The following is a 27,201-nucleotide window of genomic DNA, read 5'->3' as shown; positions in this document are numbered from 1 at the left end:
TACAAAAATTAGCTGGGCATGGTGGTGCATGCCTGTAATCCCAGCTACTCGGGAGGCTGAGGCAGGAGAATCACTTGAACTCAGGAGGCGGTGGTTGTGGGGAGCCGAGACTGTGTCATTGAACGCCAGCCTGGGCAACAGGAGCAAAACTCTGTCTCAAAAAGAAAAAAAAAAAAAATCATAATAATCTTTCTAGAGATGGGTCTTTAATACTAAAAAAGCGCACTAATACAAAACTAAACAATTGGTTAAAACAAGATTTTATTACAAATATTGACTTTTTTTCAATGCAAAAAGTTTAAAAATTTTTAAATTCTATAATGTGTTTCTTTAACATTCTTCAGATTGATATCTTTAAAGTGCCACCATTTCTCTTTTGAAAAGGCCTTGAATGATGGCTCTCTCCTTCACATTTTGTTGGCTCCTGTAACTTTTACTAATTATCTAAGTAAGGAAAAAAATTATTTTTGAAAACAGACAAGTAAAGACCTGCCTTTTAATTCTGCATGCCTGTTATATCTCTATTTCTATATGTGTCATGTGGAAGTGATATTTCGCTACCAAATCACATGAAAAAGCTCTAATCAAGTAACTTAAAAAATTGTAAATGCTTATCAAATTGGTAAACACTAGCTCAGATGCCTTTTAATTCACATGACCTTGGTAATCTTTGGTAAAAATTAATTTGGTAAATTTAATCTCAAAACTCTCCAGTAATTTAAAATTCTCAAAGTCATGTTCAACCCTCTGGTTTTTTCTTTTCCCCCACTGGAAATTTGGGTTACTAAACAGTTAAAATAGTAGAAATATAAAATATGCTTTTGTTAAAATTTTATAAACATAGTATCAATTCTCAAAAAAATCTAAGTTTCTTTTTGGTTAAGAAACTATTTAAGAGTTGCTTTATAATAAAGGAAGTTATACAAATAAAACTAAATGAAAAAAATAAACAATCTAGGGCAACAAAACTCTGAGCCCCATGGTTACCAAGAAAATAGTTGATATGGGGGAAGGGCAAAACCAAGTAACTATTTAAAACCAAAGGGTGTCATGTAAAGGAATTGTTCCACTTTGTAGATTGGTATCATTTAGCTTCTTTAAAAACAACAACAACAATAACAAAAAAAAACTTTACTATAATAAATTGAAAAATAACCACTTAACCACTTTAAGGACAAAATTCTTAATTTTAAATGCTACAAAATTTAAGAGCTTGCAGGACCCAGAGCTCACTACTGAACAATCACTAATGGACAAAGGTTTATTCCTGAAAAAGCAAACAGCCAGGCCCGGTGGTTCATGCCTGTAATCCCAGCACTTTGGGAAGCTGAGGAAGGTGGATCACTAAGTCAGGAGTTCAAGATCAGCCTGGGCCAAGATGATGAAACCCTGTCTCTACTAAAACTACCAAAAAAAAAAAAAAAAATTAGCCGGGTACGGTGGCGGGTGCCTGGTAATCCCAGCTACTCAGGAGGCTGAGGCAGGAAAATCATTTGAACCCGGGCGGCAGAGGTTGCAGTGAGCCAAGATCACGCCACTGCACTCCAGCCTGGGCGACAGAATATGACTACTCCATCTCAAAAAAAAAAAAAAAAGAAAGAAAGAAAGGAAAAGAAAGGAAATGCAATCAGCCTAGTGGGCCATATAAGTTCTGTTTGCCCTGAGAAGGGGACTGCCCAAATCTCCCTATAAAATACCAAGTGAAGTACCTAGATGAAGCAGTTAATATCTCTCATATGCAAGCCATGTTGGACTAGCTTTATAACTGGGATATCCTCCCACCTGATATGTCTATTACCTGGGTCATGGTCAATTTGGGGGTTAAGGGGGTCTCTTTTACATGGTGCCCCTCCCACAGAATCATAGGTCTGTTTAAGAAGCCTTATCAAATCTGATATCCCTCATAGATCTCACAGATGCAACCCCCCGCTGGAAACCCAAATCCTTTTCTCCAGAAAAGGTAAAATGGTCTGGGGGTAAAAACGCTTCCTGGGACCAGAACATAAAAATATATAGGTTAATAGAATTATAAAATGTGAAATATTTAAACAAGCTTTATGTAAGGTAGTTGTAACCCCTTTCACCTAAATGTCTTATAAAAGTGGGTACTATATCTAACTCACTGGGGGATGTTTTCCCCTTTCTAGTACCATAAAACTGAAGACATGTAAATCTGCTCATGTAAATCCTCCACTGCATAGCCTTTTGTGTGGAGCATTTATCCGGACTGATGGCAAAAACTGTGAGTACTTTTCAATAACAACAACTGAGGTATTTTGATGGGGCATTTACTGGCTTGCTATGGAATATTAACTAAAGCTACCTCTATATTAATGGAAATAATGTTTCCCAAAAAGTTCCATAATAAAATAAAAATGGTTTACATAAAATCTTGCTACCTAATAAGCAGAGAGGCTCTTTTCTAGAACTAATTGTAAGGAGCTGCTAAATTCCACAATGCCTAATAGCTCTCCTGAGCTGTTTGATTTGTAAATGACATTTCCAAGGTAAGCAAACATCTCGTTTTCAAAGCTGCTGCTCTGGTTAAAAAAGGGTCAAGGAAATCTTTTTCTTTTAAATTATTTGGGTAAAGTATGTTTTTGTAAGCAAATTTCCCTTTCTGAATCCTCCAAAATTCAGATTGTAATTTTATGGCAATATAGTTGTCTGCATAAGTTCAATAATAGTTTTTTTTTTCCTAACAATTGGTGACACTGGTTATTTTACCAAGACTGAAACTAGTATAGCCTATTTTTAGGTAAAGTTTCAGCAAAATCAACTTTAAAAGAAGTCTATATGGCCAGTCGATTTCTTGCTGCATTTTATGCAAATCATCAGGCAAGCATAATAAGCCTAAAACTAGCATTGCACACAAATTGGCCTGGCTATAAAATTCTCTTTAATAAAAAAGGCAGCAAAAAAATTGTTTGAAGGGCAAAGTGTAACACTTAATACTACATTTCAACCCTAACTTTTTACATACAGATGAAATCATTATTTCTTGGCTACAATAATCCTCTAAAAAGTACCTGATTATAATTTTTCTTCATGTTTTCAGTTGGTGCCCTAATGGAACAGGTTCCTTTTTCTGTTCTAACATACAAATTACTGTTATAACTGTCAAACTATAACTGTTATTTATCTCTTTTTGTTTTACTTCCAAGCAAACCAAAATCATGGTATTCTGAAGACCAGAGATAGGAATCTCCCTCATTTGACATCCACTGGGTCTGGATCTGTTTCACTGCTAATGCTTTGCTGCCAGAGCTATACAAGCTGCCTCCCTCTAGGTCCAGGGACTATCGCAGAAGAGGTGGGCATGTACAATTTGTAAGGGCCAGTTTCGAGGGATAAAATTAGGACAAGATCAAACCCTCCAAATCAAAAAGGAGGTCCAAAAAAAAAATGCCTAAACAGCTGGTAAAACAAGTTTGCTTGTCTTCTAAACTATTATTTGTCACTTTTGCATCCATCCCAACCATAAAATTTTGCTGTAAAATTAAAGAAAAACATTTACTAACAGGATAAAATACCTTACCACAAAGCTTCCTGGGTATAATACTCCCAATGATAAGTGGTAAAAATAAACCTATCTATCCATATATATTTTTAATTTTTCAGAGCAGTGCTTATGTTTTGTATAGCTAATTGCTGTAAGTCTGTAACAAAAACCAAACTCACAGCAGCTCAACACATAGAAGTTAAAAATAAGTCAGTCTTGCAACTTTGCCTTTTGGTTTTTCTGCTGGCCTTTTTACTTAAACTAATAATTTTTAAAAGTAACAAATGGCTGTCCACAACCCTTCCTATCTGGCCTAGAACAATTAATTGGCTATAAGTCTTTTAACTCTTATGGTCCTCAGCCATAGATAGTCCTGCCAAGGAAAAAAATAACACTGTAGAATTATATAACTTCTCCTGCGACAAAACCTTTTCCCTCCAAATACCAGTATATGGTGCAACACAAAAGTCGGTTGGTGGGGGTGGTGGGCGGGAAATAGATTTGTCTACTGTTAACAAGTCTATCACAATTTAAACACTGAGGACCAGGTGTTTCTGGTATTTAATTTATGTTATATGCATAGGATGCTATACCTATGGAAACACATTGGCTAGAAAAGAGATTACATTTATTAAATTCTAATTTAATGTTTGTCCCACAATTCTCAAGTAAGATTTATCACAAGGTCCAAATAACCCTTAATAAGGAAGGTAAACACATTGTGAGTTTGATCAAAAATATGATGATGCATACGGGGTTTTCTGGCTGATTGGGTTGGTTAGTGTCCTCTGATTCTAACTACAACCTTGGACGCCCAAACCTTCACTATCTTTATATTTGTTACTATATTAACATTAGACATTTTCTTGCAAATATTATGCCAGGTACAGCAAAAGGAAAGACACAATTAAAAACCTGGATCATAATAACTCAGAAAATAGATCTGATCCGGGATGGTTTTTTTTAGGCTAAACCCTAGGCCTGACTCCATCTCACTCGGTAAACAATTGGCTATTGCATCAGGTCAGACCATGTCCTCCCCCCATTATCCAAATCGCTAATATTTAAAACTACCATCAACCAGACTACACTAGGAATAAGCCTTCCTAGCACCGTGGGACCTCGCCAAATGAACAGATCAGACAACTCTAGGAATAAGTGCTCCTAGAGCCATGGAATCTGCCGCTGTTGGCCTGCATATGCTTTCTGTGAATGCTTTTTGGCCAAGAGGGAGGACTGAAGACTAAACTCTGATTTTTTACCTTACCCAAATTCCTTTCTAAGAGGTCCTAAAAACCAGAAATTTTTATCAAATGGATTTTATTTAATCCTGTATCTCGTGACTTTCCAATCTGACTCTGGCATAACAAGGAAGAAAATCAAAATGTTTTACCCCAAAATATATTTCCTTGCCATACCTTGAAATTGCCCTGCAAAGTCTCTTGTGGGAAAAAACCACATTCTGTAGAGAATCCCTTTTCCCCTTGGTTTTCCTTCCTTCCTTCCTTCCCAAATCCAGGAGATAATCAACTAAGAGCCTGGTGCCCTTTTAAGTCTGATATAAAACAATTTACCACCTGCTGTCTCTAAAGTCTGGTAAGAACTTCATCTGCACAATAAAACTTGGTCTCCACAATCCTTTATCTTTAACATGAACATTCTTTCTATCAATCCCAGGTGTTCAGATAACCTCAACCAATTGTCAACCAGAAAATGTTTAAATTTCCCTATAGCCTGGAAGCCCCTGCTTTGAGTTGTCCGCCTTTCTAAACCAAACCAATGTATTTCTTAAATGTATTTGATTGCTCCCTAAAATATGCCTCTCTAAAATACATAAAACCAGGCTGTACCCCAACCACCTCGGACACATGTTCTCAGGACCTCCTGAGGGCTGTGTCGCAGGCCATGGTCACTCATATTTGGCTCAGAATAAATCTCTTCAAATATTTTACAGAGTTTGACTCTTTTCATCAACATTATGTAAACTCTCCAGACTATCTTCTCAATGTTTTTCCTGTAAACATAAAACTGCTCTAAAAAATACAGCCCATTAAAAAAAGCATGGTTCCTGATTTCATGGAGTTTGTAAAATGAGAAGGAAATTTATTTTATAGGAGTTTTTGAGGTCTAACGAAAAGCTTGTAAGTGATTTTATACAAGGTTAGTGCATAGTGCATGAGACCTGACCAATAAAATTTGTTTTCCTCTTTGTTGATTTCTACTGACCTTTATAAATATTTAAAATCTCACATCTATACATTCATCCAAATATCCAAATATCTATTGGTCATTTACTTATTTCCTATGCATGGTGGTCACCTTCACATGTTCACAAATATTCTGGTTCAAGTTCCTTTTAGGCTCAATAGGATCGCATTTCCCTGCCATTTTTGAAGTTAGGTGTGGCCATCGGATCTGCTTTGGCTAATAAGGCTTAAGCAGAAATGATGTACCTCTTGATGGATGGAAACTTCCAGCACAAGTGTGCAATTCACTACTAGTCATGGTTAATTTTACTTGTCCAGTTGCCTGGCTAAGGGTGGCCAAGATAGCTGGTAAAACATTATTTCTGGGTGTGTCTACAAGGGTGTTTCTGAAGGAGATTTGCATTTGAATCAGTGGATGGAGTCAAGAAGACCCACCCTCCCCATTGTGGGTAGGCATCATCTAATCCATTGCAGGCCTGAAATAAAACAAAAAGGGGGAGGAAGGGCACATTCTCTTTTTCCTTGCACTGGGACCTCCATCTAGACTTCTGTGCTTCTGCTTCTCCAGCCAGTGGACCCTGGAACTTACCCTCCAGGCCTCCCCTGTCCCACTGCAGTCCTCAGGCCTTTGGCCTCGGACTAGGAGGCCATTGCCTCCCCTGTTTCACAGGCCTGTGGAATCTGAATTACATCACTGGCTTTCTTGGTTCCCCACCTTGCAACAGTACATCATGGGACTTCCTGGTCTCCATAATTGCATGAGCCAATTCCCATAAGAAATCATATATATGTATAATATTATATTATATATATAGTATTGGCCCTATTTCTCTAAGGAACTCTAGTATATCCCCACCTCCCCTCCCCCATGCCACCTAGTATGGAAGCCAAAATACATCCAGGGAAGTGGAACCACTATCAATGTTGTTAGATATTAAGTTGCTGCAAAAGTAATTGCGGTTTTTGCCATTCCTTTCAAAAGTAATGGCATTGAAAGTATGGCAAAAACAGCAATTACTTTTGCAGCAACCTAATAAGACATTTAGTTCAGGAATTAGACCTTACATAATGATGAGAGGAACTGGGGAGGTGAAGGTAGTTAAGGAGAGTTAGAGGGCTAGAGATGAAGTCATTAACCAGCTTTCCCTGAAGCACTGGTGTAGGTGGACAAGTTGGAGCTTTCAGGAGAAATGTGAGAGAACAGGTACATCCAGCCACCAAGTGGGACCATGAAGTGGGGGACATGTTGATGGGAGGCTGCTGCCTGAGCGCAACCACCACTCTGTGGGTCCACCACCAAGAGTCTGGTGGTGGCCCCAGGGCCACTATTGGTCAGGGGATCTACTGTCAGGAGGATGTGCTGGGCATGGAGCAGGCGGGGAGCAAGGCCAAGCTGGGATCCCTGGCACCTCTGTGCTGTTGTTTCTGCATGTAACTGTGATGCCCTGCAAAAATGATGCTGCTTCACTTCTGGCTCACAGATCTTTTGTTTGTTTGTTTGTTTGTTTTTGTTTTTGTTTTTTGAGATGGAGTCTCACTCTGTCACCCAGGCTGGAGTGCAGTGGCGCTATCTCGGCTCACTGCAAGCCCTGCCTCCCAGGTTCACACCTTTCTCCTGCCTCAGCCTCCCGAGTAGCTGGGACTACAGGTGCCCGTCACCACACCCGGCTAATTTTTTTTTTCTTTTTTTTTTTTTGTATTTTTAGTGGAGACGGGGTTTCACTGTGTTAGCCAGGATGGTCTCAGTCTCCTGACCTTGTGATCTGCCTGCCTTAGCCTCCCAAAGTGCTGGGATTACAGGCGTGAGCCACCGTGCCCGGCCTCTGCCTCCCAGATCTTTTTCAAGTTCCCCTTTTGGCCAAATTTAACGCAGAATCATATAGAGAAGAGGATTCTGGGAGTGAAATTTCCAACTCAACCAAGTTGTCAATAGGACAATCTAACACAGGCTACACCAAGCTTGCCCAACCTGTGGCCTGAGGTCTGCATGCGGCGCAGGACAGCTTTGAATATGGACCAACACAAATTTGTAAACTTTCTGAAAACATTATGAGATTATTTTTGCAATTTTTTTTAAAGCTCATCAGCTATCATTAGTGTTAATGTGTCATATGTGTGGCCCAAGACAATACTTCTTCCAATGTGGCCCAGAGAAGCTAAAAGATTGGACACCCCTGGACTCTATATCAACTTGGTATCCACACACACCTCTTTGAACCATTACCTCCAAATAAAGGCAGTAGAAAAATAATGCCTCCACCTAACAGGATGCACAACTTGAACACCCCAAACATGTCATCCTTTCCCCAAAAGAGGATACACAAATCTTCCTCTTATCCATCTTTGTGTGATACTCATTTCTCTTCTAGCTGGGTCCCTTTTTGAAATTACTAATCATGATGACAGTCTTTGTTTTCTTCAACTGGCCACATGGTCATGGCTGACATTCATCACTTACTTCTTCCCCACCCAGTCCATATTTTCTTTGTTTGTAGCAAGCACCTCAGCAGCCATGCTTTCATCATTCCTGAAAGTTCTGTGCCACTGGCAATCCTGTCTGAGCTGGCTTGTTGTCGTTTCCTGCTAACTTTTGTCACAGGACATGGGAGTGCTAAGAGGTGCCCAAGAGGATCTCCTATGGTTCAGACATCCGCTCATCTGCCCTCATGTGAGGTCACCACCCAGTTTCCACTTGAGAGTCAGGATGGAGCACCCCAGTCAGTGCAGTAAGCTCTTTCTCCACTTGTTGGTTCATGGCACGAGAAACACAAAGGAGCCAGGTGGCAGTCTCAGCTTCCAGTTTAATAGAACCACTGTTGTGTCTTCTGTCAGAATCAAACACCTCTAGACAAGCAGAACCCAAAATAATGGGGACAAAAAGCAAAAACTTTGCTTGTGAATTATTAAGGGACTAGTAAGAGAAATCACTCCCTTTTCCACCCCTTGATTCCCGGACATCTTAATTCGGGCTTTGAGAGAAACATCAGCCAATATGGAGTTAGAGCAAGTATCACATTCTGGAGGCCCATAAATGTTGCCACCCAGCTGACGCTACAACTGAGTCTTCAAAAGGCTATGCCATCATTCTACCAGGCCAGCTGCTTTAGGATGATTGTGAGACTTGGGCATTCTATAAGTATGAGTCCATTGTGGCACTTCATGTGCTATAAAATGAGCCCTCCCATCAGCAGTGATGCTACATGGAATATCATGGCACTAAATAAAGCACTCTGTGAGCCTAGAGACGATGGTTTTAGCAGAAGGTTCGCAGGCAAGAAAGACAAATCCATATACAGAGTAAATGTCTATTTTGGTGAGACCAAAGTGCTATCACTGCCATATGGAAGTGATAGAGAATGTAAAAAATATGCTACCATGTGCCTGGCTGATTCCTTTGGGAATGATAACTTATCAGGAGCTCATTGTTGATCTCTGCAGCTGGCTGGTTGGGCACCCAGCAGTGGCTGTAGGTGGATCAGCTTTGGTAAGCAAAAGCCCATGCATAGTCTCTAACCCTGCTACAATGTTCACTTTGTTCATGAGTCCATTGGGCGAAGCCAGGGAAAGGTGGCAACGAGACTGACATCTACAGAATGGGCTGTCTTGTCTATTAAGATCTTCCCGGGTAAGTTTGCTCTTTTGCAAGCATTCATGTGGCACACAAATATCTTTGTCCTCTGTGTCCATTCAGAGAGGCCTATCCACATATCCACATATCTGTTCCCCAGATCCTCTTGTCACTAATTTCCCAATTGTATTTCAAGTCCCTGACCATCTGGCCAAACCATTTGCCATTGCCCATAAGCCAGTATACATACATATCTCTAGCCGCTTCTTCTTCCAGACAAAATGAACAACAAGTACATTGCTTGAATTCCTGCCAACGGAGAGAATTTCTGTTTACCCCTGTCCTTCAGTGGCAATGTCGTGTTGCAGCTCTCCTTTGCGGTACCAGTATATTGTGTAGAACCATCTGTAAACCAAGCCCAAGTTGTTTCTTCTTCAGTCGCTGCATCTGACTCTAAGCCTTCAGGGAGTAATGGTTACTGCTTCCTTTCCATGTCAGAGATATCATGGAATTCCTTTTGTGTTCAACTTTAAACAGAACTCATATAGGGAAGGAGGGATATAGTTCCCAGTTATAGGGTTGATATTTAGACAGACATTTGTCATTGCTGACAGTCTTTATTCCTTCTTAAGGACTTGATTTTCCAGCTTTTCTTATTTCTCCTCAACTTAAAATTTTTCTTTTATTTCTGGTAGTGTCATTCTGTTAGCACATTCTCTTTTCTTTTTATCTAAAAATATCTTTATTTCACCTTCGTTTTTGAAGAATATTTTCACTGAATGTTTGCCAAGTGAATTTTCTTTCAGCACTTTAAAGATGTTCTTCCACTGTCTTCTGGCCTCCAGAGTTTTTAATGAGAAGTCAAAAATCATTCAAATCTTTGTCTCCTCTATGTATTATATTATTTTTCTTTGCTTGTTTTTAAGATTTTTCCCCTTTATTTTTATTTTCAGCATTTAGCTATGATGTCCCCTAGGCATGGTTTTCTTCATATTTACTCATATTTAACTTGCTTGGGGTTTGCTGAGTTTCTTCAATCTGTAAATTTATGTCTTTCACAAAATTTGGGGAAATTTCATCCATTATTTATTACAATTGTTTTTTTGAACCATTACCTCCAAATAAGGGCAGTAGAAAAATAATTAAGAAAGATAAATAGTCTTTCTTATCTCCTTTTGAGGTTCCAAATGCATATATGTTAAACTTTTTTTAACTGGTTCCTGAGACTATTTAGTTTTTAAACCTTTTTTTTCTCTCCCTTTTTTTTTCAAGATTAAATAATTTCCATGGATCTATCTTAAAGTTTACTGACTCTTTCCTGTATCATTCTCATTCTGCTCTCAAGCACATCCAGTACATTTTAAATTTCAGATGTGTTTTTCAGTTCTAGAATTTCTTTTCTTTTTTTTTTTTTTTTTTTTTTTGAGACAGAGTCTTGCTCTGTCACCCAGGCTGGAGTGCAGTGGCATGATCTCGGCTCACTGCAACCTCTGCCTCCTGAGTTCAAGCAATTCTCCTGCCTCAGCCTCCTGAGTAGCTGCGACTACAGGTGCACACCACCATGCCTGGCTAATTTGTTTTTGAATTTTTTAGTAGAGACCGGGTTCCACCATGCTGCCCAGGCTGGTGCGAACTCCTGAGCTCAGGCAATCCACCTGCCTTGGCCTCCCAAAGTGCTGGGATTATATGTGTGAGCCACCTCGCCCGGCCCAGTTCTAGAATTTCTATTTGGGTCTTTTTATAGATTATATTTCTCCACTGAGATTTCCTATTTTTTCATTCATTGCAAGCATATTTTCCTTTAAGTCAATGAATGTGGCTCAAAGGTGCTTTAAAACCCAAGTCTGCAAATTTCACCATCTGGTTTTGATCTCCATTGATTGTCTTTTCTCTCAAGAATGGGTAACATTTCCTTGGCTTTTCATATGTTGAATAGTTTTTTTTATTGTACCCTGCATATTACAAAGTTTATGTTGTAGAATTCTGGATTCTGTTATATTCTTTCACAGGAGTTTATTTGTTTTTGCTTTCTTTGGTGCAGCATTAATTAACTTGATTGAACTCAAACTGCAAACTCAGCTTGAATGCTTCCAAGCCCAGGAACTGTCATTCCTGGCATAGCTCTTTGATTATGTGGCAGTAATAGGTTTAAGTGTGGATCTTGCTATCAAAGCTTCTCAAAGGCAGTGACTGGGTCTTATTTTTGTGTCCTCCACATCTTGCTTATTCTCAGCGACAATGGACCTGCCATAGTGCTGAATGCATGAACGAGCTAATGAACCATGTAATTCAAGAAACATCCCCCAAACCAGAACACTTTTACTAAGATTCAGGCACCAAGAGGGAAAAGATGGAAATCTAGTGTATATATCAGCTTCCACCTTCCTATACTTTGGTATAATTTTCACTTGTTAATTCACTAACAACAATCTGAGCCTCAGCCACGTTTAATCTTTAATATTTGTGCCCTCATATATTATTTCCACAGAGTACACATTATAGCAAAATCTCACTAAAATGAACTAACTAAAATATCAGATGATGATTGTTCAACTGTTACTTTAGCTGCATTTCCATAATGTGAAAGTAATTCAAAAGGTGTAAAGTTGAAGCAAATAGAAGTCTACAAGACAATCCTACTTTATTTATTCATTCAATAAACATTTGAGCACCTATGCCATCATAGACGTCAGATTCCAGAAATATGAAAATTAATACAGTAATAAGCAGATGGACAAATCTCTGCCCTTAAGGAACTCAGAATTTATCCAGAAAACATTAACTGTAATTTTCCTATATTGCAGTCATCTCAAGTACTCCTTCCTTTTTTTTTTTTTGCCTTGGCCTATACAGTATGTACCACTAATTCATATTTTACATCTCACTCTTTAAAAGCTTAAATGGATTTAATTTAAAAGGAAAGATTATATCACAGGTTGGATATGCTGCTTATGCTCTTCACTCACATTAAAATAAATGCATAATTATTAAAGTGCAAAATGACTAAATGCAAACTATCAAGTATTACTTGTCCCACGCTCTGACAAACACTGCTTTAAGCATGTTAAATGTTATAAAAGAGGTGTTTTTAAAGTGCAGACAGTGTAATGGGAATATAGAAGGAGTTTCTTAATCCTGCTTGTGTTTTTAAGGAAGGCTTTGCAAAAATGTCTCTTTAAGGGGAATGACAGTATTCCCTTTATCATTCGGTCCTCTGTGGTAGACAGAATAATGCATCCCCACAAGACGTCCAGTCCATGTCCTAATCACGGGAATGTTTTACATTACATGGCAAAGGGAAATTAAGATTGCAGATGGAATGAGAGTTGCTACTCATCTGCCTTTAAAGAGATTATACTGGATTATCTATGTGGACCAAATGTTTTTAGACAAGGGTTTGGACAAGGGTTTTTAGAAATAGAAGAGGGAGACAGTGAGAGAGTGATGTGGTATGCAAAGGCCCCTATTGCTCTTACTGGCTTTGAAGATGGAGGATGTGGCCAGGAGCCAAGGAAAGTATGGTCTCTAGAAGCTGGAAAAGGCAAGGAAACCAGTTCTCTCCTAAAGCCTCCAGGAAGTTATGCACTCCTGCTGACACCTTAATTTTAGCCTAGACTCGTGCTGGACAACAGAATAGTAAACTAATAAATTTGTGGTTGTTTTGAGCTATTAAGTTTGTTATAGCATCCATAGGAAACCAAAACACCCCTACAGTGCCAGATACCTCGTAGTCACGGGCTAAAAATAAACCAAACTGAATGTGCACTCCCCTTTAGGTTCTCTGAGGCCAAGGACCCTGTCTTTTTCTCTCCTGTAGCTCTAGTGTCTACTGCAGCCGAGAAAAGCTAATATCGGCCAGGCACAGTGGCTCACACCTGTAATCCCAGAACTATGGAAGGCCGAGGCGGGTGGATTACCTGAGGTCAGGAGTTCGAGGCCATGACCAACATGGAGAAACCTCATCTTTACTAATAATACAAAAATTAGCTGGGCTAGGTGTCACATGCCCGTAATCCCAGCTACTCGGGAGGCTGAGGCATGAGAATCGCTTGAGCCCGGGAGGTGGAGGTTGCGAGAGCTGAGATCATGCCATTGCACTCCAGCCTGGGCAACAAAAGCGAAACTCCGTCTAAAAAAAAAAAAAGAAACAGTAATATCTTTTCCTCACCCATCAAGGGGTCCTTGGCTGACAGCCTCATAACAAAAGACAAATTAACAAGATAAAAGCATAGCAAATTTATTTAACCAAGCTTTCCCATGACATGAGAGTCTTCAGAAATGAACAGTTAGGCCAGATGTGGTGGCTCAAGCCTATAATCCCAACACTCTGGGAAGATCATTTGAGGCCAGGAGTTTGAGACCAGCCAGAGCAACACATCAAGATCCCGTCTCTAAAAAAAAAAAAATCATTTAAAATTAGCTGGGTGAGACAGCACACACCTGTAGTCTCAACTACTTGGGAGGTTGAGGCAGGAAGATCACTTGAGTCCAAGAGTTGAGGCTACAGTGAGCTATGATCACACCACTGCACTCCAGCCTGGGTGACAGAGTAAAACCCAGTCTCCTAAAGGCTTTTTTTTTTTTTTTTAAAGAAATGAACAAGTAAAGACCCAGGGAAAACTGTATTTTTATGCTTATGTTTCATGAAGAATGGGCAGTTAGGTAGAAATATGATCAGATAAGAGGGGTATGACCTAATAATAATAAATTAAAGGGAATTAGCATGGCCTGTTTTTTCAGATCCTTCTTGGCCTGTCTGTGTAGCATTCCTTTCCTCTGGGTATAGGGCAGGACACCTGTCACATAGGGTCTTGTGACCTACTTTCAGAAGAGGTAGATGAGAGAATTCCTTTATGGCCAGCTCTTACACAGGAAGGTGGAAAAAAGCCAGAGAATGACCTTTCTGCTTCTGCTGTTTTCTTAATTTCCAAGATGCCATGTTTGGGGGTATTGTATTTCTGAGCCCCAACCCCACCACTACACTGAGCATGGAGTTAGAGGTCAGTAACTATTTAGAGTGCCTTTCGAACGAAGGCACTATTTATGAACTATGTTATCAGGCATGGGCAAAGGCATAGAAATGGGTCGAGGAAGGGCTTTGAAGACTGGGGAGCTGTTTGGGCAAGGACAAGGCTGTTCACGGTTTGTTTAGAGAAAGAAATTATCATCTGGGAGAGGACAGTGTGCTCAGGGAGCACAATGATAACAATTCCAGGGCAGCAACAAGGAGCAGACCAGGAAGGCCCTTGTGTGGCATGCCAAGGAGTTCAGGTTTGGGTCCCAAGACCCCCAGGAGTCATGTGTCAATCTTCTTCTGTGTGGCATGAAAGCAGATACCACCTTGCCTTTTTTGCAAGTTGAGTTCTTCCTATCATCCACTGGAGTCTTGGATTCCTGGAACCAGGATCCTTGCCATCCACGCAGACGTTTCGGGAGAAGGCCTGACCTTTTTGGGCTTGAGTTCTTGGGCTGGGGTCAAGTGTTGCACATTAGGAACGGCCAGACAGAGGGAGCCAGTGTCCTGAGCAGCCGGGTGACTTGCAGACTCCCTTGAGCTTCCTCCTTGCAAGAGCCGGAGACCTGTGAGCCGGCGAGCTGTCAAGATTTCCGTCATAAACCCCACGCTCCATGTGTTTGCAATATGGGCACAGAGATGCACAGGGGAGTGGGGTCTGGGGTGTGAGGGCTTAGTTCTGGAGTCATTGCTTCCTCTCTTTTCCTGTGCATTTGTGAGAGTGCTTATTTTGCTTTCTTAAAGTTATGGCGTGGAATAAAGGGACAGTAATGAGTTCCAGATGCTTTTATTTTTCTCCTTCTATAATTGGAAACAAAAATATAGCATGGTTTTTCAATTGAAAGTGCCAGAAAGGGGTGATGCTTTTAGCTCTGGGGTTTTAGCCATGATTTAGAGCCCAGCAAGAGGCTGTGGCCGTCACCACCACATGCTAACTGGCTCACACTGCTCCCTGCAGACCCAGCTCAAGGCTTTATCTTGGAGCCTGAAGGAGGTTCAAAAGTGAGTCCTACACTAAGCAACTCTTAATACATGAAACCCAAACGTACAAAGCAGACAGATTGGGGCAGGGTGAGCAGCCACGTATTCAAAGGATGATTGTTTTGCGGAAGGTCTCGGAGCAGGCCTCTTTTAATTAGCATTCCCCTGGTGCATCTAAAAGTTTCCCCACACATCGTTAATTTCTCAGGGAGGGGACAAAGAACCTTCCAGCTGATGTGTTCCAAGTATGAAGTGCCAAGTGAAGATCAATTAAAAAGTCAAGAGACCAGAATCTTGAAGTATAAAGCATCTAAGGGAGAAAGACTGCTTGAGTTACCGTGGACTTTTCAGGGGACCTTAAAAGCGGTGATGTGACGACCTTAGACCTGGAATTGGATTAGCCTCCTTGTGAGTTACACAAAGAGATCATCCTAAACCTGCAGGAGGAAACACCTATTCATTTTAGACTGAAAGCTTTAAGCCTGTCTTGGAATCCTTCATTCTCTTCCCCTTGGCCAATGGCTGTTACTAAATAGAATGGTGGGTAAACAGGATTCAGATTTAGACTGTGGGAAAGCAGTTGGCCTCCACCTACAAGACATACTAATAGCAGATTACATTCCCTCCAGGGAGATAATCTTTAACACAAGGCAGACCCCAGCCCTCCAATCTAACAGCAGGCCAGGAAGGCAAGATAAAGCTAAATGGCCACTCCATCCGTAAACCATTTGCACAGCACATTGGTACAAATAGGAATTCTGGATCCCAGGGCCAACATTTAAGACTAGCCCTTTACCTTTCGTTTGCTGCAAAAAAATAGTTCCAGTTCTCTTTTGATGCCAAGACTCTTAGGTCAGATTTGACAAGCAAGAGTGACTGTGCTGTATTCTCCCACCACCTGTTCTTCCATTCCCTTTTATATTTCCTCGTGCAGCCATGCAAATAATTAATGCTCATCATGTTTAGTTGCCATTCGAGTACCTACTGTGTGGAAGCCACTTTATAGAGGTACATACTATTGTTTATTTTTATTCCCATTATCCAGGCCCTCAGATCAATCAGTCAATTCCAAAGCCCACTGAGTTACCTTTACACCATTCCCTGCCATCTAAAGCAATTACTCAGTGGCTTCGAAGCCTTTTAAAGTCTTACCAACATTGAGGCTTCTCCCTGGGCCTATTAAGTCAGAACCTCTGGGGTCTAAGCACCTGTGCCTTAAATTTGCTCACTGTGACCCGGATGCATGGTGGGGCTGAGAACCTCTGTGGGAGCATCTTAGGTGATGCAGAGTTTTGGAGTTGATGTGGAGATCCAGCCCCTTTTTAGGGAGCCCTTCCCTCTGAGGTGGCTGCTGCAGCCCACCTGCCACATCTCCTTGAATCTGAAAGAATAATAAGGAAGATGGAAGCCAAAGACATGTTCCTTACTCCTGGTAGGACTTCTGCCCTGAGTCTAGCTCTTTCCTGACCTGCTGACTTGGGCTGGATGGTCCAGAAGGAAGTCCTAGGGTTCACTTCCTTCCTCCATGAAGCCCGGAGCCAGGTGCTTGCCCCTCTCCTAGACCCCTGCTTCAGTGAGTTCTGAATAACTGAGGGGCCTCCCAATGAGCCATTTCTGGCCCCTAAGGGAACCTTACCAAGCTCTGATGACATAGTTTAAAATATGGCAAAAAGAGGGAGAAAACTTCAGACTCCCCACTTCTCGCAGTGCAGAGAGAGGGAATATTTGGGGTATTCTCACCTCATCTTCTTCTAAATGGCTGGGACTCACCTAGTCTCTTGATCTTTGCATTTTTCTGGTCTCTCCATTGCAACTGACAAGGCCCATCTTCCCCGGAGAGATGAAAGCAGAGATTCCACACTATTATACTCTCCTAGCAGGTCAGGGATTCCTCTAGAGTGAGGCTCTAAGTCCATAACCCACCACGGCAGTTGTCAAGAGATTGCTGGAAACAACATGTAAGCACAGCCAAGCCTGCTCTTCCTCTATAGGAAACTTAAACCTACTTCAAGTCACGGCTCCCTTAGAAGGATGAGGTCTTCTACAATCATGCTTGTGTTCTTGGAATTCAGTTTAAGAAAATAATTCAAAAAGTGCTCCCAGAACTAGCTATAAGAATGCACACTGTAGCATTGTTTTTACTGGGAAAACTTGGAAACAAGCTAAATGGCCAATCACAGAGGACTGGGTAAATGAATCGTGTCATAAAAATCACGGTGTATGTTCTTCTCTGCAACAGGGAAGGATATTTATTATATTTTAAATGCCAAAAGCAGACCACAAAACAACATGGATAATATGATCTCATTTTTGCATCTGGAAAAATACATGCCAAACCGTTATTAATAAGTATCTCTGGGTGGAGATTAAAGGTGGTTTTTATTTTCTCCTTTGCTTGTCTGTATTTCGTAATAATAATAATAAAGGATGTGTAGTCCTTGGGTAATTGCTGCAAACCTAATGATGTTTTTGAGTGAGGGTGGGCATCTGAAAGCGAGACAGAAGCGAGAGGGAACTTAGCCCCCACCCCCACCTGGGAGACTCTCCAGAGCCTTCAAGGTCATGTCCCCATTTGTGTCTCACCCCAACTCCACCTCTCGACCACCGTTTACATCAACATGCATTACTTGTATTACTTAGCAACCAGGCCGTCATGTGTTTTCATTTAGCAGAAGAGAGAATAGATGCTACCAGACTCTACAGTGACTACACTATTTCTGAAGTTGCCTGAAAGAGTGGCAAGTCATCAACAAAAAGATCCAACCCAAAATACAGTGGAACTGAGAAATAGACACTTCCTTTACTGTTGGGGTTGGCCAGGGCGGTGGTCAATGTACCTAGTCCTCCCCGTCCCAGTTTGGAGCAAAAATATCATGCAGATGGAGTCACAATTTCACTTCCATTTCTGACAAAACTAGGATTGCAGACCATAGTTAGTGCTCTTAGCCAAGTGGGACTACTAATGCCTCACCCTAGAATCAGGCTGGATCATAGATCTGTTTCTGTCAGCACTGAACAGCTTTAGGGCCCTCCTAGAAGTCCCGCCCCCTACGACTTCCAGTGTGGAGCTCTCTGCACTCAGACAGAGCTCCCCAAAGAGGGGGTGGCCTAAGCTCTCCAGTAAAACCCGTCAGTGCCAATGCCCTGCTCCCCTTCCCACCTCCACTGGAGAGGAATAAAGAAGGGAGAGGCCCAGAGTGTTATTCTAAAGTGAGGTCTGCCAGCTACTCCCTGTGGGCAAAATGTAGCTCATACCTGTTTTTGTAAATGAAGTTTTTTTGGAACAGAGCCACACTGGTTGATTTATGCAGTGCCTAAAGCTGCTCCAATGGCATAGTTGGGTATTAGAAACTGTATTAGTCCATTTTCACACTGCTGATAAAGACAGACCCAAGATGGGGCAATTTACAAAAGAAAGAGGTTTAATTGGACTTACAGTTCCATGTGGCTGGGGAAGCCTCACAATCATGGTGGAAGGCAAGGAGAAGCAAGTCCTGTCTTACATATGTGGCAGCAGGCAAAGAGATAAGGAGGAAAACGCAAAAGCAGAAACCCCTGATAAAACCATCAGATCTCATGAGACTTATTTACTATCACGAGAACTGTATGGGGGAAACCGCCTCCATTATTAATTATCTCCCACCTGGTCCCTCCCACAACACTTGGGAATTATGGGAGTATAATTCAAAATGAGATTCGGGTGGGGATGCAGAGCTAATAGAAACCCCTGATAAAACCATCAGATCTCGTGAGACTTATTCACTATCTCAAGAACAGTATGGGAGAAACAGCCCCCATGATTCAATTATCTCTCATTGGGTCCCTCCTACAACATGTGGGAATTACAGGAATACAATTCGAGATGAGATTTGGGTGGGGAAACAGAGCCAAATCATATCAGCGACCAACACCATTTGACCTGGGAAGCCAAATAATGTTCATTTGGCCTTTTATAGAAAAAGTTTGAAGGCTCTCTAGGAAAACTAGAACACAGGGCATGCACCTCCCGTAACATTTCTGGCCTCCTTACTCTCAGACCCTGCCTGCTTGGCGACCTTTGCCTGTCCTCAGATACTAAAGTTCAGGAAGCTTCACTCCTGGGCTCCTTCTCTTCTCATTCTAGATTCTCAAAATCTTCTCTCAGATGTCTCCAAGGCCTTTCAAATCACACAAATCTTAGCCTAGAGTGACTGTTAAATGTATTGGTCCAAACCAGGGCATTTTTGAGAATAACAAATTCTAAACTAAACCAGACAAGACTTTGGGATGATAGGCTTAACTTGGATTGTCCCTGGAAAACTAAGATGCATGGTCATTCCAAATGAAAATACTTGTTGTTTTCTCTGCCCAAATCTGAGTCCTTCTTGAATATTCCCAATGGCTCTGGCACTTCTATCCTGGCTGTGGTACAACTGAGAAACCCGGTTTGTATCCTTTCCACCACCCACCTCCAACCCATCACCAACTCCTTTGGAATCCACCCACTTCTCCCCATCTCAGCAGTTCCCATCCTAGTACAAACTGAAATGGGAGGAGTTCCCTTATCCCCCTCACAGGGTGTGTGACAGGGGTGTGGCTCACTTTGTCAGTGACCTGCTGCTCAAACTCCTAGGGGAAGCATGCAGACAGGCAGGTTGTGGAGAGTGTTTTTGGGCTCTGACCCCACGGCAGTGTCTAGGGGTGAATGTTTACAGCTCCTGAAACTCCAGTGGGCATGTTACAGTGAATTCTTTCAGTTTAGCCATCCATAGGCAGCTTGTGTTAATCAGCTCAGTTAGACCCTCTGCCTTATCGCAAGGACAGAGGCCTTTCTGTATTCCGGGTCCTTGCCCTCGTGTACTGGAAAAATCAGATCACACGTGGGCTTGGAGGATTAGTGCAAGGTTTTATTGAGTGGAGGAAGTAGCTCTCAGCAGATGGATGGGGATCCAGAAGGGGGTTGGGGTGGAAAGGTGGTCTTTCCCTGGAGTGGGCCGCTCAGCAGCCGGACTCTCCTCTGACTGCCCCTGACTGAATTCCATGTTGTCCTGCTGTCAGTGGCCTGCCAGTGTCTGCTGGTGTCCGTTGCGTGATCTTCTGCTTCTCTCAACGTCCAGCTGCTTGTGTCTGTGCCCGCTAGGGTCTCAGGGTTTTTATGGGCACAGGATCGGGGGTGAAGTGGTTAGGAGTAGTCTTGGACAATGCAACATTTGGGCGTGGAAACAGGAGTGCTGGTTATCACTTAGGTCCATGGGCACAAGACCGAGGGTGGAGCCCTCACCAGGAGCCCTGCCCTTCTCTACCCAGCACTTCCCTGCCCCCCTCCCGTATCAAAACCACCACCATCTCTTGCTTGGGCTTCTCAAGAGTCTCCTCACTGGTCTTGGCCCACTCCCATCTCCTTCACAGCCGGACTGAGCTGCTGGAAACTTTCATCTCATTGGGCCACCCCTCTGCATAAAACACTTGGCTTCCCCATGTCCTAAGGACAGAGATTAAAATTCCCTTCCTTGCTTTCTGCCTGTAGTCGATCCTTGAAAGCTTCCACATCCTTCCTGCTTTGGGGGTCTCCCTACGGGCTGTTTTCTCTAACTGGAAAGCCCCTTTTCCTATTAGACCTCAGGGCTCAGTCTCAAGCTCACTCTCTTCCTCTTCACATGAGGCCATTACCTGCCATCACCTGTCACACCACCTGCACTCTGCCTTCTCAGCCTTTATTACAGATTATAATGCAGTTGGTGTTGGTATTTGCTTCCTGACTATTTCCCCTGCTGTAAGCTGCATGAAATCAGGGTTTGTGTCTATTTGCCCATCATTATCCCAGCACCTAGCTCACTGTTAGTGCCTAGTAAGCACTCCTAAGTAACTGTTGAGAGAATGACAAAACAGGAAAGCAAGCCTCCATTGTATCAGATTTTGGGAGTTGCAATTTAGCCCTTAGGCAAATCTAACAGAATTCTAGACAGGATGTAGTCTATGTTAGTTTCCTGTGGCTCCCGTGACAAATTACCTCATGCTGTGTGGCTTAAACAAGAGATATTTATTCTCTGACGGTTTTGGAGGCCAGAAATCTGAAGTCAAGGTGTTGTCAGGGCCACACTCCCTACAGGGTCTTTAGGGGATAATCTGTTCCCTGCCTCTCCCAGCTCCTTAGGGGCTGCTGGCTTCCCTTGGGTTGTGGCCGCATCACTCCAATCTCTACCTCCATCTTCAAATCACCTTTTCCTCTTATTTTGTGTCAAATCTCCCTCCCTGTATAAGTGCCTTGTAAGGACATTGTGTTGCATTCAGGACCCACCCAGATAACCCAGGATGATTTCCTCATTAAAATCTTTAACTTAATTACATCTGCAAAGACCTTTTATCCAAATAAGGCCATATCCACAAGTTCTAGGGATTAGGATGTGGGCATATCTCTGGGGGGCCATTTCTCCCCACCACGGGATTGTAAGACTAGACTTGGTCCAATAGGAGCTGTTTGGGGAAACTCAGGATGAGAACCTCTGCAAAACAGGAGAGAATGGATTGCAGTTAGGCTGTGAGTAATCACGGAGGAGAAACAACCCAGTGATGCTTCCCACCGGGGTCAAGGCAGACACCATCATTGTCCCCTTCCTACTCTTGCCTTCTTTGCCCGCAAACAAAGATCATTTCTGCTGGCACAGGGTTTGGATGAGAGCCAGATCTCACCCAACTGTTGAAATTCATGGCTGACGAATCAGTGGAAAACAGCCAGAACCTAGGGCTCGCATCTACTGCACAACGTTGGGAACAATGCTTCATCTCAGTTAGCCTCAGTTTCCCCAATTATAAATCAAAAGAGGGTGATGCGTCATAGTTACTTCTTCCCAAAGGAGCCATTGGAATGGTTTTGTTGTCATTTTTCCTGTGTCTTGGGACAATCGTGCTGATATAAAGCATCATTATATTTACCAAGTATGTTCCTTGCAAGAACTTGTTCTTCTTGCTCTTCTTACAGCTGTGGAGTCTCCATCTGCTTTTCAAAGTAACAAAAATCCTCCCCCAGACCTCTGGATCACCACACACCTGTGTCTCTGCACTTCTCAGGTGCTGCCCTCCTCCGATTTTCCCTTTTACTGCACCAGAGGCCACCAGCTATTTTAAACCACACTTAGAAACTGGTCCTTTGTGGCAAGTGCTGTAGAGAGTGTCTTTAAAAAGGTATAGGTTTCTAAAAAAAAAAATAAAAAGTACACAAACACGGAGGGTGGGCCAGAAATAAATGCTACTGTATATTTAGAAGCTGAATGCTTTCATTCTTAGATAATGAGTCTAATTCAGTTTCTATAAACCACAGTCGTGCTTCCGTGGTCTCAGTTCCACTGAGCATCTTGTACTTCGAAGCAGCCTTCTGAAATGGCAAGGCTATTTATGAGGGAGCATTGGTGTGAGTTTCTGTTTTTGGCAAAGGGTAAAAATAAGGAATGTTCTTCTGAGTGGGCTGCTCTGAGAATCCAGCTTGGCCGCTTGGTCGGCGCTGGGCACATGTGCACGACATATGTCATTCTTGCCTCTGAATAGAGGGTATGAATCACTCTGCCTGGCTCTACCCAGTGGGGATTTTTAGATCGTGCTTCTTCTCCAACATGCAAAGCAGCGTTTGATTTTCTGAGAGGGAAGTGATGAATATTTTTCTCTGTAAAATATGAACGGTGAATGTAGTCAGTACCCACTGTGAAGGCTTAGAGAAAACAAACTAAAAGATGACCATCAGACAACTTCCCCTCTGCAGGGAGCTTCCAGATTCCTTTCCTGCGGGCTGCGGGAGGCTGGCAGCCTCTTGAGAGGGTGAGGTCATTTCTTCAATCAACAAACGTTTTGGGAAGCCCCCTATGTGCCAGGTACTCCTGCAGGCACTGGGGAAATGCTGGGGTCATGTAGAAACCGGAGCAAGCTGGGGTACATAGTGTGTGCTTGCTTTTAATGAAGTGAGTCACTCCTAGCTCCTTGAAAATCAGAATCCTAGCAGTAAACTGTTTGATGATGATCAAGTTCAAGTCCAGCAGCAGTGTTTGGGCCATTACAAGCACCTCACTCCCTCACGCCCTCTCCAGAGGGCCAGGTTACACTTTGGGAACCCCAAGTCTTTTCTAGAGGGATGAAATGATTCCGGGGAAGTTAGACTGAACTGAATCCAGTACCTGCTGGAACCCCATTTCTCCAGAAATCCTCCAAGTTTGAGCTCGAAGCTACTTAATCCTCTGGGGGTGACTGTGGGGTGTTTGAGATTTCAGTGGACACCTGAGGTGCCAAAGCTTCAACTTGCCGTGGAAATCTGAGTGTGATTTTAAGTGGTGAGACCCTTGGGCACTGGGGAAAAGAAAAAAGTGGGTTGGTCTGAACAGTCCCAAAACGAAAGGCAGGGGGAGGTCTCGGACAGATGTGCCATGGCCTGCTCCCTCCCTCTGAGGCCTGAAATGTGTGAGGCTTTTGGGTTTGTGCCTGCAGGGAGCGGGGAGTGAGATGTGGCCAACAGCCCACACAGACAATGCCAGAGGGAGATGGATGCTGGAGAGGAGGTGGGGAGAGGAGAAGAGGCCCAGAGACTCTTCCTGTGTTTATGTGATAATTTCACTCCATTACATTGAGATCACAAAAGAGGAATAATGTGTAGACAGGGACTGGGCAGATGGAAGAAATGCCGGCTCAGAGAGGGGATGGGGAGGGAAGGAAGAGGCTCGGAGGGCAGGAGGGAGCTAAGCGAGGAGGAGCCCTGGGAGGATTTGTGGCTGCTGCCCACTGTCCCCAGGGATCCCGCATGTCCTGGGGGCCATGGTGGCAGGTGGAAAGGGAGACTCCAGGGAAATGCTAATAGAGACACTGGCCCACAAACCAGCATCTCCTGTTGCGTGGCAAGGTCCCCTGCACTCACAGAATGTTTTGTTTGTTTGTTTGTTTTTGCTTGTTTTGAGATGGAGTCTCGCTCTGTCGCCCAGGCTGGAGTGCAGTGGCGCAATCTCAGCTCACTGCAACCTCCGCCTCCCGGGTTCACGCTACTGTCCTGCCTCAGCCTCCTGAGTAGCTGGGATTACAGGTGCACACCACCATGCCTGGCTAATTTTTGTATTTTTAGTAGAGGCGGGGTTTTACCTTGTTGGTCAGACTGGTCTTGAACTCCTGATCTCAGGTGATCCACCTGCCTCGACCTCCCAAAGTGCTGGGATTACAGATCGTGAACCACTGCGCCCGGCCATTCAGATATTTTTAACACAGCCCTGCCACCTTCTCCCTAGTGCTCGTTCTCCATCCTTGTCTCAACTGCAAGCTTCACTACAACCCAGGCTCACTAAGACAATGAAAAATCAAAGATGTTTCATGAAAATGGTAATCAGTTAAGTTTTTCCATCTTTGGAATGGGTCATGAGCTGAGGCCCAGTCTGAAGGTGGGAAGCCCGAGCTCTCTTCCCAGGGAGGGTGGCTCTGCACCCCTCTGTCTGCAGGAGATCCCTGCCAGGATCCCTTATCTCTGCTGTCACATCCTGCTTTTCAGCTCCCTCCCAGAATGGCCTCATCCCTCAGGGTCCTGTGGAATTTTCTAGAACATAATAGGCAGATGGCCAAAACCCAAGTGGGCGTTTCTCCAAGCACAGACTGGAAAGACCCCATGCCAACGTCTCTTCTTTTTCTACTCAGGAATTTGTTAGGTCTGATTAGGGTCCGAGCTGCCTTCCCAAGGGCACCTTCCAGAGCGGTGGTTTTCCCACTAAATTCCTCGTTCCCTCTTCTCCGTCTAGAACCCACCAACGCTGCCTCAAGGAAGGCACAGATAGGCTCAGGATCCAGGGGAAATCCTCTCGCTGCCTGCAGGCTGGACCGACTCTGAGTAGGGATTTCTAGACTGGCCCCTTCCTTCTGTCTTGGGCATTAGGGAAGTCGGAGATGTTTGTCTGTTTGTTTGTTTGTTTGTTTGTTTGTTTTTGACAGAGTCTTACTCTGTTGTCCACGCTGGAGTGCAGTGGCGTGATCTTGGCTCACTGCAACCTCCACCTCCTGGGTTCAAGCGATTCTCATGCCTCAGCCTCCCAAGTAGCTGGGATTACAGGCACCCACCACCACGTCCCACTAATTTTTGTATTTTTAGTAGAGACAGGGTTTCGCCAAGTTGGCCAGGCTGGTCTTGAACTCCTGGCATCAACTGATCTGCCCACCATGGCCTCCCAAAGTGCTGGGATTACAGGCGTGAGCAGTGCCGTTTTTAGACTAGACTGTCCAGCTGGGAGCTTAGGGGTGACAGGAGAATCAAACTGCAAAGGCTTTCCCAGTGAAACCCTACCTGTGTTTACACACAGCTTCCCATAAATATGTCCCCATTTGTTTAAGACAGGAAGTAGTTAATTCTCCTTACTGCCAAGAAATTAAACATCAAAATAGAAAGAAAAGAAAAGAAATGTAAGCACCAGGCACACACTGCCTTTTCTGACTTCACTTGTATTATTAGGGGTGCAGCATACAGTGTATTCATAGCTTAAGTGTATTCTTAAATGCCCACTTTTAATTTCATGTTAAATTTGCTTCATGAAGAAGGTCTGGGTGACTGGGTCTGCCTCTTCCATGGCAGCCAGTCTTCTCTTTCTGGAAGGGTCTGGAATAATCTTTCTCATGATGCAAATACTTCAGAGGCAACACAGTGCACTTAAGGAAAGAGCCCCGTTTTTGGGAGTCAGAAAGATTTAGGCATGACTCTTAGTTCAATTCTGTGTTCTTTGGCAAGTTATTTAATCTCTCTGAGCCTCATTTTTCTCCTCTGTACAATGGCCCAACCTAACTCCATTGGCTACTAGCTGTGTGACTTCGGGATAGTTACTTAACCTCTCTGGGACTTAGTTTTCTTTTATTTGTGAGATGGGAGACACAGTGACACCTATCTCAGAATTGTTGCTGATATTAACTAAGTCATTTGCATAAAGTGATTAGCACAACAGCCCTGGCACTAGCATAGTGTGAGGATTTGCAACGAGGATGATGATGGGTTGTGTGAGGCCTTCGTGACATGCACCTGGTACATGGTAGGTACTTGCCCAACCCTCATCCCTCCCCACTCCTCCCAGCCGCCTCAATTTCTCTTTGTGGTTCTCACCCGTGAAAGGTTCTCAGGTGCCTCTTCAGGGCAGTCCTTACACCTCCAGTCTTTCTCTTTGTTGACCTGTCTTGTGATTTTTGCTCTGCTCTAAAACCGTGTGTCTGCACTGACCTCAATATCGCCTGTCAGCTTGGAGTGTTGTCTTTGGGCTGAGGCTGACTGGATGACTCAGCATTACTCTTAAAGAGGTCAGTCCCATTCTTCAGCCTAAGTAATAGTCAATAACAACAATTCACCTTGAATACAGGCATAGAAGATTCAATATGGCCCTAGGTGCTTGGCAGCTCAAGAAGTAGAGTCTGTTTTCTCACTCTTGGAAACATGCGACTTTCTTTAATGAAATGAATGTGGTAAAAGTGACACTGTCTGACTTACAAAGCTGGAACATTTTCTTGTGGATGTCACATAAGGAAGCTGGCCGGACCTACTGGAAGATGAGAGGCCACACAGGGATGAACTGAGGTGCCACAGGGGAAGCTAGTACCAACAGCCAGACTGTGAAACCTACACCAAATCCTCAACACACATAGGGTCCATGTCCCTAACTAAACCACGCTAGTACCATAGAAAATGCAAGTTAAATAGATGTCTTCAGAGAGGTTCTTTTTGGAAAAGGTATTCAATTCAGCATACATGCCTTGAGGTCATCTCAAGGGAGTGTTGGGTGACAGGGATTGGCAGATACGGGCCTTGGTATCGGGAGGGTTCACCCAGGGTTGCAAAGCCCTTTGAGGCTTCAGTCATGACAAGAACACCCTGAATGCAAAATGTTCCTACTTTAATTGCAGAAGGGATTGGCAGTGGAGAGGTACACACACATTTTATTATTAGGTGAATGAAATGCCCTCT

General features: G+C 43.2%; 1 protein-coding gene across 1 annotated transcript in view, besides 3 other annotated features; it reads left to right on the top strand.

The window, feature by feature from the left end:
* Window positions 1-3,968, top strand: part of MIS18A (MIS18 kinetochore protein A) — a 124,368-nt gene extending 120,400 nt beyond the window's left edge. Inside the window, exon 5 of the transcript XR_002958619.2 lies at window positions 2,148-3,968. The gene's annotated coding sequence lies outside the window, so the exon portion shown is untranslated. The remainder of the gene's footprint in view (window positions 1-2,147) is intronic.
* Window positions 22,357-22,616: an enhancer, noted in NCBI's record as "active region_18359". NCBI's record gives its function as "activates an Ori minimal core promoter by ATAC-STARR-seq in GM12878 lymphoblastoid cells {active_cell/tissue: GM12878}" and the evidence as "EXISTENCE:reporter gene assay evidence [ECO:0000049][PMID:35858748]".
* Window positions 23,167-23,216: an enhancer, noted in NCBI's record as "active region_18358". NCBI's record gives its function as "activates an Ori minimal core promoter by ATAC-STARR-seq in GM12878 lymphoblastoid cells {active_cell/tissue: GM12878}" and the evidence as "EXISTENCE:reporter gene assay evidence [ECO:0000049][PMID:35858748]".
* Window positions 23,995-24,496: an enhancer, noted in NCBI's record as "H3K4me1 hESC enhancer chr21:33506465-33506966 (GRCh37/hg19 assembly coordinates)". NCBI's record gives its function as "activates a minimal SCP1, AML or CMV promoter by ChIP-STARR-seq in primed H9 embryonic stem cells {active_cell/tissue: H9 hESC(primed)}" and the evidence as "EXISTENCE:reporter gene assay evidence [ECO:0000049][PMID:30033119]".

This window comes from Homo sapiens, chromosome 21, assembly GCF_000001405.40.
Source record: "Homo sapiens chromosome 21, GRCh38.p14 Primary Assembly".
Taxonomy (NCBI): Eukaryota; Metazoa; Chordata; class Mammalia; order Primates; family Hominidae; genus Homo; species Homo sapiens.
The sequence above is the reverse complement of the archived record's forward strand: the minus strand, read 5'-3'. Positions and strand labels throughout refer to the sequence as shown.